Source organism: Homo sapiens, chromosome 4 (assembly GCF_000001405.40).
Source record: "Homo sapiens chromosome 4, GRCh38.p14 Primary Assembly".
NCBI lineage: Eukaryota > Metazoa > Chordata > Mammalia > Primates > Hominidae > Homo > Homo sapiens.
The window spans coordinates 16,304,339-16,316,959 of NC_000004.12; the positions used below are offsets into that span (position 1 = coordinate 16,304,339).

The following is a 12,621-nucleotide window of genomic DNA, read 5'->3' on the forward strand; positions in this document are numbered from 1 at the left end:
ATCACGAGCCAATGGCACCAACAGAGAGGGGCTCGCATTGGAGCCTGGCCTTGAAGGATGAGGCGGTGTGTGCCAGGCAGAGAGGGAAGGGAAGGGGATCCCAAGTGCAGGGGACAGCAGAGGCAAAGGCAGGAAGTGGGTGTGGGCACAGAGCGTCTGCAAATGGTGGGACAGGGTTTCAGTGTGGCCAGATTGCAGTGTGTGTGTGTGTGTGTGTGTGTGTGTGTGTGTGTCTGTCGGTGTATGTCTCTGTCAATGTCTGTGTGTATCTGTGTATGTGTCTTTGTATGTCTGCATGTATCTTTGTGTGTGTGTGTGTCTGTCTGTGTATATGTGTGTCCCTCTGTGTGTACCTGGGGATGGATGACAGGATAGGCCAAGCAGGCAACTGCGCCACTGCAGGCTTTGATACTGTGCCACCCATTCTAGAAGGAAAAGACCAAGGCAGATGCTAGGATGGGAGTCACAGAAGGGGAAGGGTCCCAGAGAGCCAGTGGGGAGTGTGTGGTGTCACCTGGCAAATCTCAGAGAAGCACTTCCCAGAAAGACCCTGTAGTCTGTGTGTTTCCTTATAAATATGCTTTGTGTTCCCATTGCAATCTTCCTCCAGAAAGAATCTGCCTGCCTCCCGAGGATCAAGTAGAATTTCACATTTTGTAGGAGACCCACCGATTTATGTCTCCCTTGTTGAGCAAAACAGCTTTATCTCCTTATGTCCAAATAATCCTCCAAAAAAAAATACTGCAACAGAGCACCTGTTTGCAGAGGTCAGGGCCTCAGTGGAGTGTTTGCGAGGACAGTGAAGATGGACCCCTGGGTGAGCCAATTTTAGGAGAGGTACACACCTTCAGAAATGGCTGCTTCCGGTGGATTTATGCAGAGACTGAGCAGCTGAGTAAATCAGTCAACATCTGTAGCTGTGACCACAGAATTCTCAAACAGGTGGACTATACATGAAATCCAAATACAGTTACAAGTTTTAACCTGTACATCGTTAGATCAAGACACTGCTTTTCGGAAATTTGGATTACATGTCAACCAATTTCATATAAACACACCTTTATTTTGAAGCATCTCTTAAAACAATCAAAAAGTCTGACAATACTGAGCCCTATCCACACACACCGTCTTAGTCAATTGGAGCTGACTGTTGACCTTTAGAGAGGCAGAAGCTCTAGTTTGCTGCAGTCCCTACCATGATGCCTGCCCCAAAGCCAAAGGTCATTTACCATTCATCATCAAAGTTGTACTACTGCTTTTCTTATTCTTGAGTTAAGAAAGAAGTGAACAATTTTTTGTATGCCCAAATCTATGAAAAGTGAGGTGACAAGGTATACTGAAGTCCACATCTTTTTTTTTTAATGGATGTGAGTCTCTTACTATATGATGAATACATAAATATGTCTTTTTGTGAAGAACTAAGTTTCAGACCCCATTATGAACCAAATTTCTTTTGCTTCACTTTATGTTAATAACTCAGCACTGTGAGTATTGAGTATGCAACCATACATGAAGTGCTGCTTTTGTCAGGACAGGGAGGATGAGTAGATGGAAGATTAGAGAGGCTAAGTAGTTTGGCCCAGTCATCATTGAGTCATCAATCATTGAGTCAATGATTTCTTTCAAAAAACATTGATTATGGGTCTTCTTCTTCTTCTTTTTTTATTTTCTTGAGACCCAGTCTCCCTCTGTCGCCCAGGCTGGGGTGCAGTGGCACGATTTTAGCTCACTGCAACCTCTGCCTCCTGGGTTCAAGCAATTCTCATGCCTCAGTCTCCTGAGTAGCTGGGACTACAGGTGCCCACCACCACGCTGGGCTAATTTTTGTATTTTTAGTAGAGACGGGATTTCACCAAGTTGGCCAGGGTGGTCTCAAACTCCTGACCTCAAGTGATCCACCTGTGTCGGCCTCCCAAAGTACTGGGATTACAGGCATGAGCCACTGCACTTGGCCTGATTATGGGTCTTCTTTATGCCCTGGGTTCACTTTACCCAGTCAAATCAGATGACCTTCCTTCCTTCATGCCTTTCCTGAGGCTCTTACCTCTTCCCCAAATGCTCCTCCTACCCCCACAACCCCACCCACTTCAGTGTGTCAAAGCCCATGCATGTTCAACCCTCTGTCAATGTCAACATCATCTTTTTTGACACTTTCATGAGCTTTACCATGCCTTTTCTCATTTTGTGGTCATCTGTATCCATGTGAGATTGTGAGATAGAAATTTAGCACATTGGAGCTGGAAGAGAGCTTGGTTATCATTTCATCCAACACTGTGATTTCCAGATGATAAAGAAACTGAGGGCCAGGCACTGTGGCTCAAGCCTGTAATCCCAGCACTTTGGGAGGCCAAGGTGGGTGGGTCACCTGAATTCAGGAGTTCGAGACCAGCCTGGCCAATATGGTGAAACCATGTCTTTACTAAAAATACAAAAAAATTAGCCAGGTGTGTTGGTGGGTGCCTGTAATCCCAGCTACTCGGGAGGCTGATGCAGGATAATTGCTTGAACCTGGGAGGTGGAGGTTGCAGTGAGCTGAGAACATGCCATTGCACTCCAGCTTGGGTGACGGAGCAAGACTCTGTCTCAAAAAAAAGAAAAAAAGAAACTGAGACCCAGGGGAGAGTCACTTGTCTAAGATCAAGTTGAGACAGAGATGGGACAGACTCCCTTGTTAATGGTATTTAAATTTCCCAATGAGTAGCCTCTAAGGTCTTTAAAACCTGAGGCTTTCTCATTCACAGTAGTATCTTGAATACCTAGTCTAGTGCATGGCAAGTACTAATAGTAGGCACTTAATAAATGCTTGTTGAATGAGTGAATGAGAGTGAGGAGTGAGTAAATGCAGGAGTTCTTGAGTGAGTAGATGAGAAATAAGGGTTCATGAGGCTCCAAAGAATGGTAGTTTTGTGACACTCAGGACTCAAGCCAAGTGGAAATGTGAGTAGACAGGCTGCTTGTCTAGTGATTCCAGAAGGCAGAAGCGTTCTTGGTCTATTCCTAATTTAGGCAGGCACCTGTCAGGGTGGAGGAAGGCCAAGGTGCAATCCTGCACAGCGGAACTGCTGCCTGCCACTGACTCACCTGCCTTTTGTCAAACAGGTGCCACCCAGATGTAGCCATGAATACCCATAGCCTCACCCTGTTCTCCTTTCTCCTACTGGCTTCTCAGGTGCTCCTGGTGGAGGGGAAAAATGGAGTAAAGCAGACAATAGAGTAATGCCCGGGGATCAATGGGTCCCCCTGGGAAAGCCCTAGAGCTCCAGATTGTGACAAAAACCCTGCCATACAAGTTCCCAATCACAGCAGCCTTGTCACTAAAGACCAAGCCAACTGTAGATGGGCTGTGACTGAGTAGGCAGAGGGCATCACTCTCAAAGTTGAGGGTGTTTGAATGAACAGTGAGTTTTCCTGTGTCTCTGTGGGCAATCCAGACTGTGCCTACGGTTTTTGGACAACAATGTGGTCTACTGGAAATAAATTAGCTAGAACCTGTGCCACAAGAAACATGCCTATGAGAACTCCAAGGCCAACCTGGTGACCAGGGCATGTTGTCAGAAGTATCCAGAATCCAATGTCAAGCTGGTGAATTCCACTCTGATCACAAATAAGAGACCCAGCCACAATGACATGGAACTCATGCCCACGGTGTGGGATAAGGTCGAAGAGTCCACTTGTAGGGACCCAACCAAGGTCAAACCATGCTTCCCCAAGCAGAAGACCCAGATCCAAGAGTTATTCTCCACAGAGTCATTGAGGATAGAAGAGATCACCCCCACAGGGCCAATCAAGACCAAAAAGACCATCCCTACAGTGCCAATCAAGATCTCAAACACCACCCCCACAGAGCCAATCACCACCAAGATACCACCACCATAGAGCAAACTGAAGAGTCCACTCCCACTGAGACAATCAAGACAGAAAAGATCACTACCACAGAGCAGGTGGAAGTGGAAAAGACCATCCCTACAGAGCTAATGGAGGTCCCAGAGACCATTCTGAAATATCGGATAGAGATGAGAGAGTTCACAAAGCCAAACCAGGACTTAGAAAGCACCCTCACCAGCTCAACACAGACACAAATCTTGACCACTGCTAAACCAAGTTATGCAAATACACAAGGCAGCAAAACTCTGTTAAAGACAACCCAGCAGACAGATCAGCAAATGGACCAGCCAGTAGATCAGTAGTAATGTGGAAAGTCCTGGAGCTCCTTCTGCAATATCTTCCTCATGGTATTACAGACATGTAATGGTAATTAGGTTAAGAGAACAGGGCAGGTCATGTCATAAGCCCCTCTGTATGCTGTAAAGTTTCCCATAAGCTATGAACTTTTGTGGTATGAGAGTATAGTGGAATATTTAACAGATTTCATAATTTTTGTTCTTTGTGTTTTGCTTTATATTCACTTCCTTGGATATGATTTTCAGAGGCTATCTACCTCATTATATACTTCCATGGCCCACACGGCAATGTGCATATGAGCAGAGAAGACCTGTCCTTGAGCTGAATGAGGCAGAGTGATGAACTTACTGCTGAATTAGCAAAGATAATACAGCTCTGAATGATTTTCAGACATGTTTTCAACCACTGTTTGATTTCTTTGTGTCTAGTACCAAGTGAACTCATAATGTAGTCCCTATACATCAGTGGAAAAACTAAGGAACAACTTCCAGTTTTCTACCTATTTCCTAATGCAACCCATTTCAGAATCCCCCTTTATAGTTTTATCCATTGGTCTGTGGTGCTTGATGCTTATTGAAGTGTAATAATTAGGATCCCTGTTTTCAGGCAGGATACTCGGTACATGGTATGATTAAATCGCCTGTTGGGGTCTTATCGGTGGTAAGAGGGGAGGCAGGATTAGAACCCAGGAGTTCTGACAGCAGAGTTCACAGGATTGAGGAACCTCCTGTACTGACTCAGGTCAGAGCTGCCCATTCTCACCATCATCTACAGGACCCGTGTCCTTGCAGAGCTCATTTCTGGAGAAGAAAGATCTGGTTGCATAGAGTGCCCTGTGATGAGGGCTGTAATGGAAGGGGCAGAGAGTTCCATGGAAAACTGGAGAGAGGAGGCAGAAACTGCTGCAATATCTGGGCTTGAGCTTCACAGGGAAGGTAATATTGGCTCTGGATTTTGGAGAGATTATCTTTAGGAATAAAATGGCGCAAAGTAGAGGTACTTTAGGTGTTTGACAACATGAAAGAAAGATGGGAAATTCCAGATTCTGAGAGAGGTCAGGTGGCTGGGATGGGATGAGACGAGACTGCTGTTAGTCATTTACTACTATGAAGGATCTGAAAGTGTTTCACTTCGAGAGTTGGGGAAGAGGATGAACAGTCCCCAATGCCTAATCATAATTTCACAGACAGGGAAAAGTGAGGAGCAGAAGTTGGTGAAAGCACTGTTCTCTAGCATGTCTGATGGTGGCAGGGAGGAATGGAAGGTAGGGTGGAAGGATGGTCCTTTATACTCCCCAACCTACTGAGATATACACTGAGAATGTCAGAGGCCAATCCACAGTGCCACTGCCTCAGAGTGACATTTGGATGTCATTATCAACATCATCAAAACGAACACTTATCTCTCATCTGCTATGTGCCGGGCACTGTGCTAAGCTTTTCCTATGCATGATGCCTGCATTCATTTATTCACTCACTTACTCAATATATAACTTACAGAGCACTGACTCAAGCCAGGCTGTGTTCTAGGTGCCAGAGATATAGCAATGGATGTACAAGAGATGGGTGCTCTGCCCTCATGGAAATTGGCAGTGGGGAAATTGATGATGAACTCATGATTACACATGAGTTAAGAGGAAAAGCATAGCAAAGGAAGAGAATAAAAGCGGTAGAAGGTAACTATTTTTAGGTGGGGTGGTCAGGTGAGGCATCCCTGTGGAGGTGACTTTTGAGTCTAGACCCAAATGGAGGAATTTAGCCATTTAACCCTGGGCTAAAGATGTTCCAAATAGAGGAAATGGTCAGAGAAAATTCCCTGATGTTAATTAATTTATTTATTGCTTATTATGAACTCTAACTATATGCTGGGCAGTGTTCTGGGGACAAGAACTAGCAGTAAACAACAACAACAACAAAATGCTTGTCTTCACATCTTATATTCCAGTGACTAGGATCCACTCTGCCTGTTCAGGAAACATCAAAGAATGTGTATTATTGTAGGATGGGGCCAGGCCTGACTGTGAACCCTACCACGACACCAAGGGAGTTGAACAGACATTCCAGACCCTCCCCAAGCTCCTTTTAGCCACAACAAATGAGGGAATATTCCCTTGAGGTCTACACAGATTCTCACAGGTCCCCTACCTGACTTATACCACTCAACTGAGATTGGAAAAGACTGGTAAACTCTTCTACAGATTATTACATAATAACCCTGGTCTAATGTGGTTGGTGCTGTGGTTTCAATGTTTGTGTTTCCTAGAAATTTCATGTTAAAACTTAACCCCAATGCAACAGCATTAAGAGTTGGGACGTACAGGTGGTGATTAGGCCATGAAGGCAGATGAGATTAGTACCTTATAAAAGGGCTGGAGGAGGGAACTAGCTAGGCCCTTTTTGCCACTCGAGGACACGGTGTTTGACCTTTCCAAAGGACACAGCAAGGTCCCATCTTGGAAGCAGATACTGGGCCCTTGTCATACAGCTAACCTGCTGGTGTCATGATCTTTAACTTCCTAGCCTCCAAAACTGTGAGAAATAAATTTCTCTTCTTTAGAAATTACCAAGTCTCCTATATTTTATTACAGCAACAGGAATAGACAAAGACAGCTGACAATAACATTGCAGAACCCACCCAACTCAAAGCCACTGTAAGATCCTTTCCATTCCATGAGGTTGTGACTTCTTGTAGCTCACTCATGGCTTTTGGACACTGGCAGAACTGTGGGGAGTTTTGCTTTCCAACATGGTAGTGTCGCCTGGACCTGGGATAGAGGTTTGCCTCTGCTGATAGCTACCCTGTTTCTGGGCAAATTATTAACCCCATGACCACCAATCAGATCCTCTCCACATGGGGATAATAAATCTCACCTTAAGAGTTGCTGGAACACTGATGTTTGCCAATATTTCTAAAGCACCTGTAGTAACACCATTTACATAGTAGGAGTTTAACACAAATGATCATTAAAAGTATAGCACAAGACTGGATTTCTGAGGGAGGTCAAGAATTTTCTTAGTGAAAATTTTTTAAAAGTGGGAATTTTGTTTTATCCTCTAGGATGGCCAGTGGACAGGAAACATTATTATTGTTTACCTATGATGTGTCAATGGCTTTGCTCCTATTCTCTTATTTAATCCCTCCACAACCCCATCTGGTAGGAGTTCTCATCCTTACTTTCTATATGATGAAGCTGAGGAACTTGCCAAGGTTGCAAAGCCATTAAGCGACAGAGCCTGTAAAGAGAACTTCTGGTCTGCAGGTCCCCAAACCCTTTCTTCCCCTGAAGCTCATGATTTTCTTTACTTGATAAGAGAAGAGTGACATTTATGGCCTTCAGACATGGGCCAAACCTGACAGTGAACAGGATCTGTCAGTCCCTGTGTGCAACCCCAACCAAGTCCTTATGAAGAGAAAATTCTAGAAGCTAATACTTTCATTTATGCTCAACCTGGAGGGGACATTTAAAAAACACAGTAAAAAAGTCTCTACAGACTTTCCACCAGCTTCTACCCAACTTATTACTGTATATGTTCTCCATGAGGACTTTCTGGATATCAAGTAGAGGAGCGAGCTCATGTGTGTGTGTTTCTTAAGGAATGATTTGACTTGAAAGCAATAAGATGGGAAGGTTTTTCTAGGTGAGAGATACTAAAAGTTGGCTTGTCTGTATGACCCAAAGCTGTAAACAGTAGGAATGTCTCTTCTCTGTAAAATCATCGCAGCACCAGCTCTGTATAGCAACCCAAACCAGACCAATGCCAATTTGAATTGCTGGAATCCAGCACATCTCCCCTGGCCATCCATCTATCTACCTCCTTCCCCACCTTCCCTTCTAAGTTGTTATTGGCTGAACAAGCAAAGATGACCTCTCACCTAGCTTCTGGTGGCTCTAGCAATTTTTGGCCTTCCTTGGCTTACAGACGTATCTCTCCAATCCCAGCTTCTGACATTACATGGAGTTATCTTTTGCTAGTCTTTGTGCAAACCTCCATCTTTTTTTTTTTTTTTTTTTGAGACAGAGTCTTGATCTGTCCCCTAGTCTGGAGTGCAGTGCCACAATCTCGTCTCACTGCAACCTCTGCCTCCCTGGTTCAAGCGATTCTCCTGCCTCACCCTATTGAGTATATCTGGGATTACAGGCGCGTGCCACCATGCTTGGCTAATTTTTGTATTTTTAGTAGAGAAGGGGTTTCACCATGTTGGCCAGGCTGGTGTCGAACTCCTGACTTCAGGTGATCCACCTGCCTCTGCATCCCAAACTGTTGGGATTACAGGTGTGAGCCGCCTCACCCAGCCTCAAACCTTCCTCTTCTTAGAAAAACACCAGTCATCAGATTGGAGCCCATTCTCATTCATTATGAGCTAATTTTAACTTTGCTGTATCCATAAAGTCCCTATTTCCAAATTCACATTAACAAGTTCAAGGTAGACATGAATTCTGGGGGGGACACTGTTCAACCCAGCACAGCCACCCAACAGCAATAGCAAATAGCTGAAAAGAAAGAGAAGTGAACCTGAAAGTGAGCAACTCTACATAAGTCCTAATAAAGAACTTTATCCAAAATATACAAAGGTAATCAAAAACAAGAAAAGTCTGAAAAGCTGTCACAGCCAAGAGAAACCTAATGAGACAGGATGACCAAATGCCATATTCGGGATGGGATTCTGGAACAAAAAAGAGGACATTTGTTAAAATAAAAATTAAGAAAATCTGAATAAACTTACAGAGTTTAGGTGATAATAAAAATGTATCAATATTTGTTCATAAATTGTGGCAAATATACCATCCCAACATAAGATGTTAATAATATGGAAAACTTGTAGAGGCTATGTGGGAACTCTCTGTACTATCTTCACAAATTTTCCATGAATCTAAAACTCTCCTAAAATAAGCAAGTTATTATTTTATTCTATTTTATATTTCTATTTCTTATTGTATACCCTTTGCAATCCTATAGGCAAGTTATTTTTATTTTAAGTTCTGGGGTACATGTGCAGGAAGTGCAGGTTTGTTACATAGGTAAATCTGTGCCATGGTGGTTTACTGCACCTATTGGGTCATCCAAGTTATTTTAAAAATTAAGTGAAAAGTAATGCAGGCATGACTGTATAGCAAGACAGAATCACAAAACTGATGTTAAATAGCTAGAGTTTGGGGCTCCCCACTCATCACTGTGCTATGTCTTTACCTTTGAGGAGCTTAAAACATGGAGGAAGATGGGTGAGGGCCAGGAACTGTATGCCAACTAACAATGAGATATAGGGATGCAGAGGCAGGAGGTGAGGAGCAGTTAATAAGAGGCTTTGCAGAACAATCATGGAAGGGCATGGAAAGGCGTTGCAAACAAAGGGAAGAGCCTGAACAAAGACATAGAGGTGGAATCTTTGCAGTTTTGACAAGAAGACATGTTCGTTGGAAGCTTGGCAGCTGTCTTCGATGGTGTCTCTTTCTTTGCCTCCCATTTCCAGCTTTATTGCAATTTACTTATTTAGTGTGATGTCTCTTGAATTAATCCTTTTCTCTGAACCTCTTCCAAATTACTTTGGTTTAGGCCACCTTCCTCTGGCACTTGGCACACTAGTCTGGTTACTAGCTCAGGTACTGAAACCTAAACTTCAGTTCTTTGTATTTTGGTTCCCTCCTCTTTAAAATGGGGATTGTAATGCTGCCTAACATCTCAGCGTATTTGTGAGGACTAAATTAGTTAATAAGAGAAAAGAGCTTAGGATAGGGTCTGGCACATAACATGATATAAGTGTTAGCTATTATATTATTATTTTTTTGTTTTTAACACAGAGCCAAAATTACTTATAAAACTTAAATTTAAGAAGCAAAAGCACTACATATGTGTGATATTTGCTTTGGCCTCATTTCTTTCTGATTTGATAACATCCATGCAATTCAGTGGTGATAATTTGTGTGACTGCTGATGTGAAATCATTCATTCCATCAGCTTTGAGTGCCATTGGTGGCAGATGCTGGCTGTGTATCTAGAACTGTGTCTGAAAAATAAAATGAATTCAAGGTCTATCACTAACCAAAGAGGATAACCTTGGGGTTTTTCACAGTCTGTGTAGGGGATATTGCCTTTGCAAAATCGATGTCAGAAGAGACCCAGTCCATCAGCGGAACAGCTACTGGTAAGGAAGGAAGACAAAGCAGATAGTGATGGTCACACTACAGGACATCAGGGGGCCTGCAGAGAGCATTCTGAGACAGAGCAGTATAGAGGCTATGAGAGTGGACTGTGGTGTTTAGCCAGGGACTTCTCCTCTGCCACTTGCTTGCTCTGCGATCTGGGAGGGGTTAGGTAACCCCTGAGCCCTGGTTTCCTCATCTGTAAAGTAGGAAAAGATGAGAGCACCCACCTTTGATCTTAGGATTGGTGTGCAGCTTTAATGAGTTAATAACTATAAAACACTTGGAGCAGTCCTGACCCTTAAGGAGAACTTCCTAAGGAGTCAGAGACCCCAGAAAGGTGAATGATCTCATCTTGACCCCTTGATGTCTCTCCATTTTCCAGAGCTGCTCCTGTGAGGCCAGTCTGCGTCACTCTGTGATGCTGGGCCAAGACCATGCAAAGAATTAGTGTCAAGGGTTGTCAGTGGAGGCCCCCCTCTGGACATCTTCAGTGATAAGCCAATTGTGAGCTTGAGAGCTGGCTCATTCCAGCTTCAGACCATCCTAATGAGGAGAAAGAACCCCTGCTGGATGGGCTAGAAGCTTCCTCCCATTGCTTCCACCCACTGGCTATCATTTTGCCCACTGGTCATAATGGACCTTGTCCTTCTTCCTGACACTCCATCAGAGCACATGGAATTAGCCATCAAGCCACTCTGAGTCTTCCTTTTTCCAGCCTAACTGGAGATGGATAAGAGAATGTCTGGGTGTAGTAGGCTGACTTTAGATATCTAAAGTAGACACGGTCTGTTTTCTCGAAGCCATCGCATCAGAACCTGTGTGCCTCTGCAGGACTCAAGTACCAGCTCAACAAAGCGTGAAGCTGCCTGTGTTTTGGAAGAAGGGATGACTGTAAAGGCATTTTGTTCACAAGTATGCTTGCCCAAGGGCCTGCACAGTCTAATTTCCTTCAAGCCTCTCCAGAAGCTCCATTTCCTGATGATCAGTGGTAAACTCCCTGCAACAGGATAGGTGGCGTGAAATTTCAGATTTTATGCAAGTTCACGGCTAGAACCAATGCACAATTACTGCTAAGAGTTTGATTTTGTCACTGTGAAAGCCCCGCGGATTAGGCCTTTCAGAAGAAAGGGAAAAGCCGCTTCTGAATTTTTAGCCTCTGTTGGGTACTTCACCATAGAACAGTGCTCATACTGCCAGTGCATTTACAATGTAAATGTTTTCTTTCCAAGGTCAAGGTTTTAGAGCCCAAGGCCACTATTGAGACCGCAGGGGCAGAGCCATAACAATTCTGCTGGCATCCTAAAAATAAAAAGCTTTATTTTCAAATTGATGATGTGGTTTAAAAGACAGAGTCTCAATAATTTACTTTTCTGCCACTTGCATCCTTTTTCTGTTGATTGGGCCTGGGAGAAAGAGGTTGGCTTCATATCGAGGGAGTGCCAATTTCTGAGACTTGCGTAAGACTAACCCTCTTGGATTCTGGTACTAATGTCCCAATCTTCTCCTCCCTTCTCCATCCAGGTGTGAGCTGTTAGATTCACTGAATCCTTAGGCCGAATCCTAAGCATGGTCAGGCTTCTGGCAGACACACCAGCAGAGTGTGGTGACACAAATTCTGAAAAGACACCAAAGGGGCAGCAATTGACAGAACTGAAGTGCCAAAGGCTTTAGGGAAAAGCTTCCCATGGCCGCCTCAGAGGGTCAGACAAGCATAGGAGGCAGGCTAGGGTTCTCAGTTCCTCATCATCATCCCTTTCTTCTTTCCAGGTCTCATCCTCCACGGAACAGAGAATGGTTTTTAGAGTAACAATGCATCCAAGGTATTTACTAAAATGGACACAGTATTAGCACTCTTAAAATTTGTCTTGAAGTTGCTCTTCTCCAAAGGCCCTGGAAGATTCTAGTAGGAGTCATTATTGCTTTCTCTGGAGGGGTGGATCTTTGCCTTGACCATACTGGACTCAGGCAGTATGAAGTTGGGGCCCTGGGGAATAAATCTGCGGGGGGCAGAGGAGAAAGAGGAAGATCAGAGAGTATAGCAAAGAAGAGAATGCACAGGTGAAGGGCACTGACCTATGAACAAGTTCAGTCTTGAGTATGTGTGAATGGAAAACCAACCCACAGGCAACAGCAAGTTCCTGCCACTGTCTTCTCAGTTGGCCCACGGTCAGCTACCAGTTAAGAGCAGGTGTTTGCTGTTACTGGACTGCACCAGCAGGCCCATGCAGAATTTGATGTATATAATAGCAGTCTTTCACATAGTTTTCATTTATATATAAACATATATTCATTCATAC

At 44.0% G+C, this 12,621-nt stretch overlaps 1 long non-coding RNA gene and 1 pseudogene across 3 annotated transcripts in view; both read left to right on the top strand.

Moving 5' to 3' along the window:
• The window catches only part of LOC124900674 (uncharacterized), a 71,217-nt gene that overhangs the window by 17,267 nt on the left and 41,329 nt on the right, over window positions 1-12,621 (top strand). The window contains exon 2 of one of the 3 annotated variants that reach the window (XR_007058066.1): window positions 12,092-12,144. The exons of the other annotated variants lie outside the window; for them this stretch is intronic. This is a non-coding gene — a long non-coding RNA (uncharacterized LOC124900674). The remainder of the gene's footprint in view (window positions 1-12,091; window positions 12,145-12,621) is intronic. 3 annotated transcript variants of the gene reach the window in all.
• LOC100421364 (fibroblast growth factor binding protein 1 pseudogene) lies at window positions 3,119-3,725 on the top strand (annotated as a pseudogene).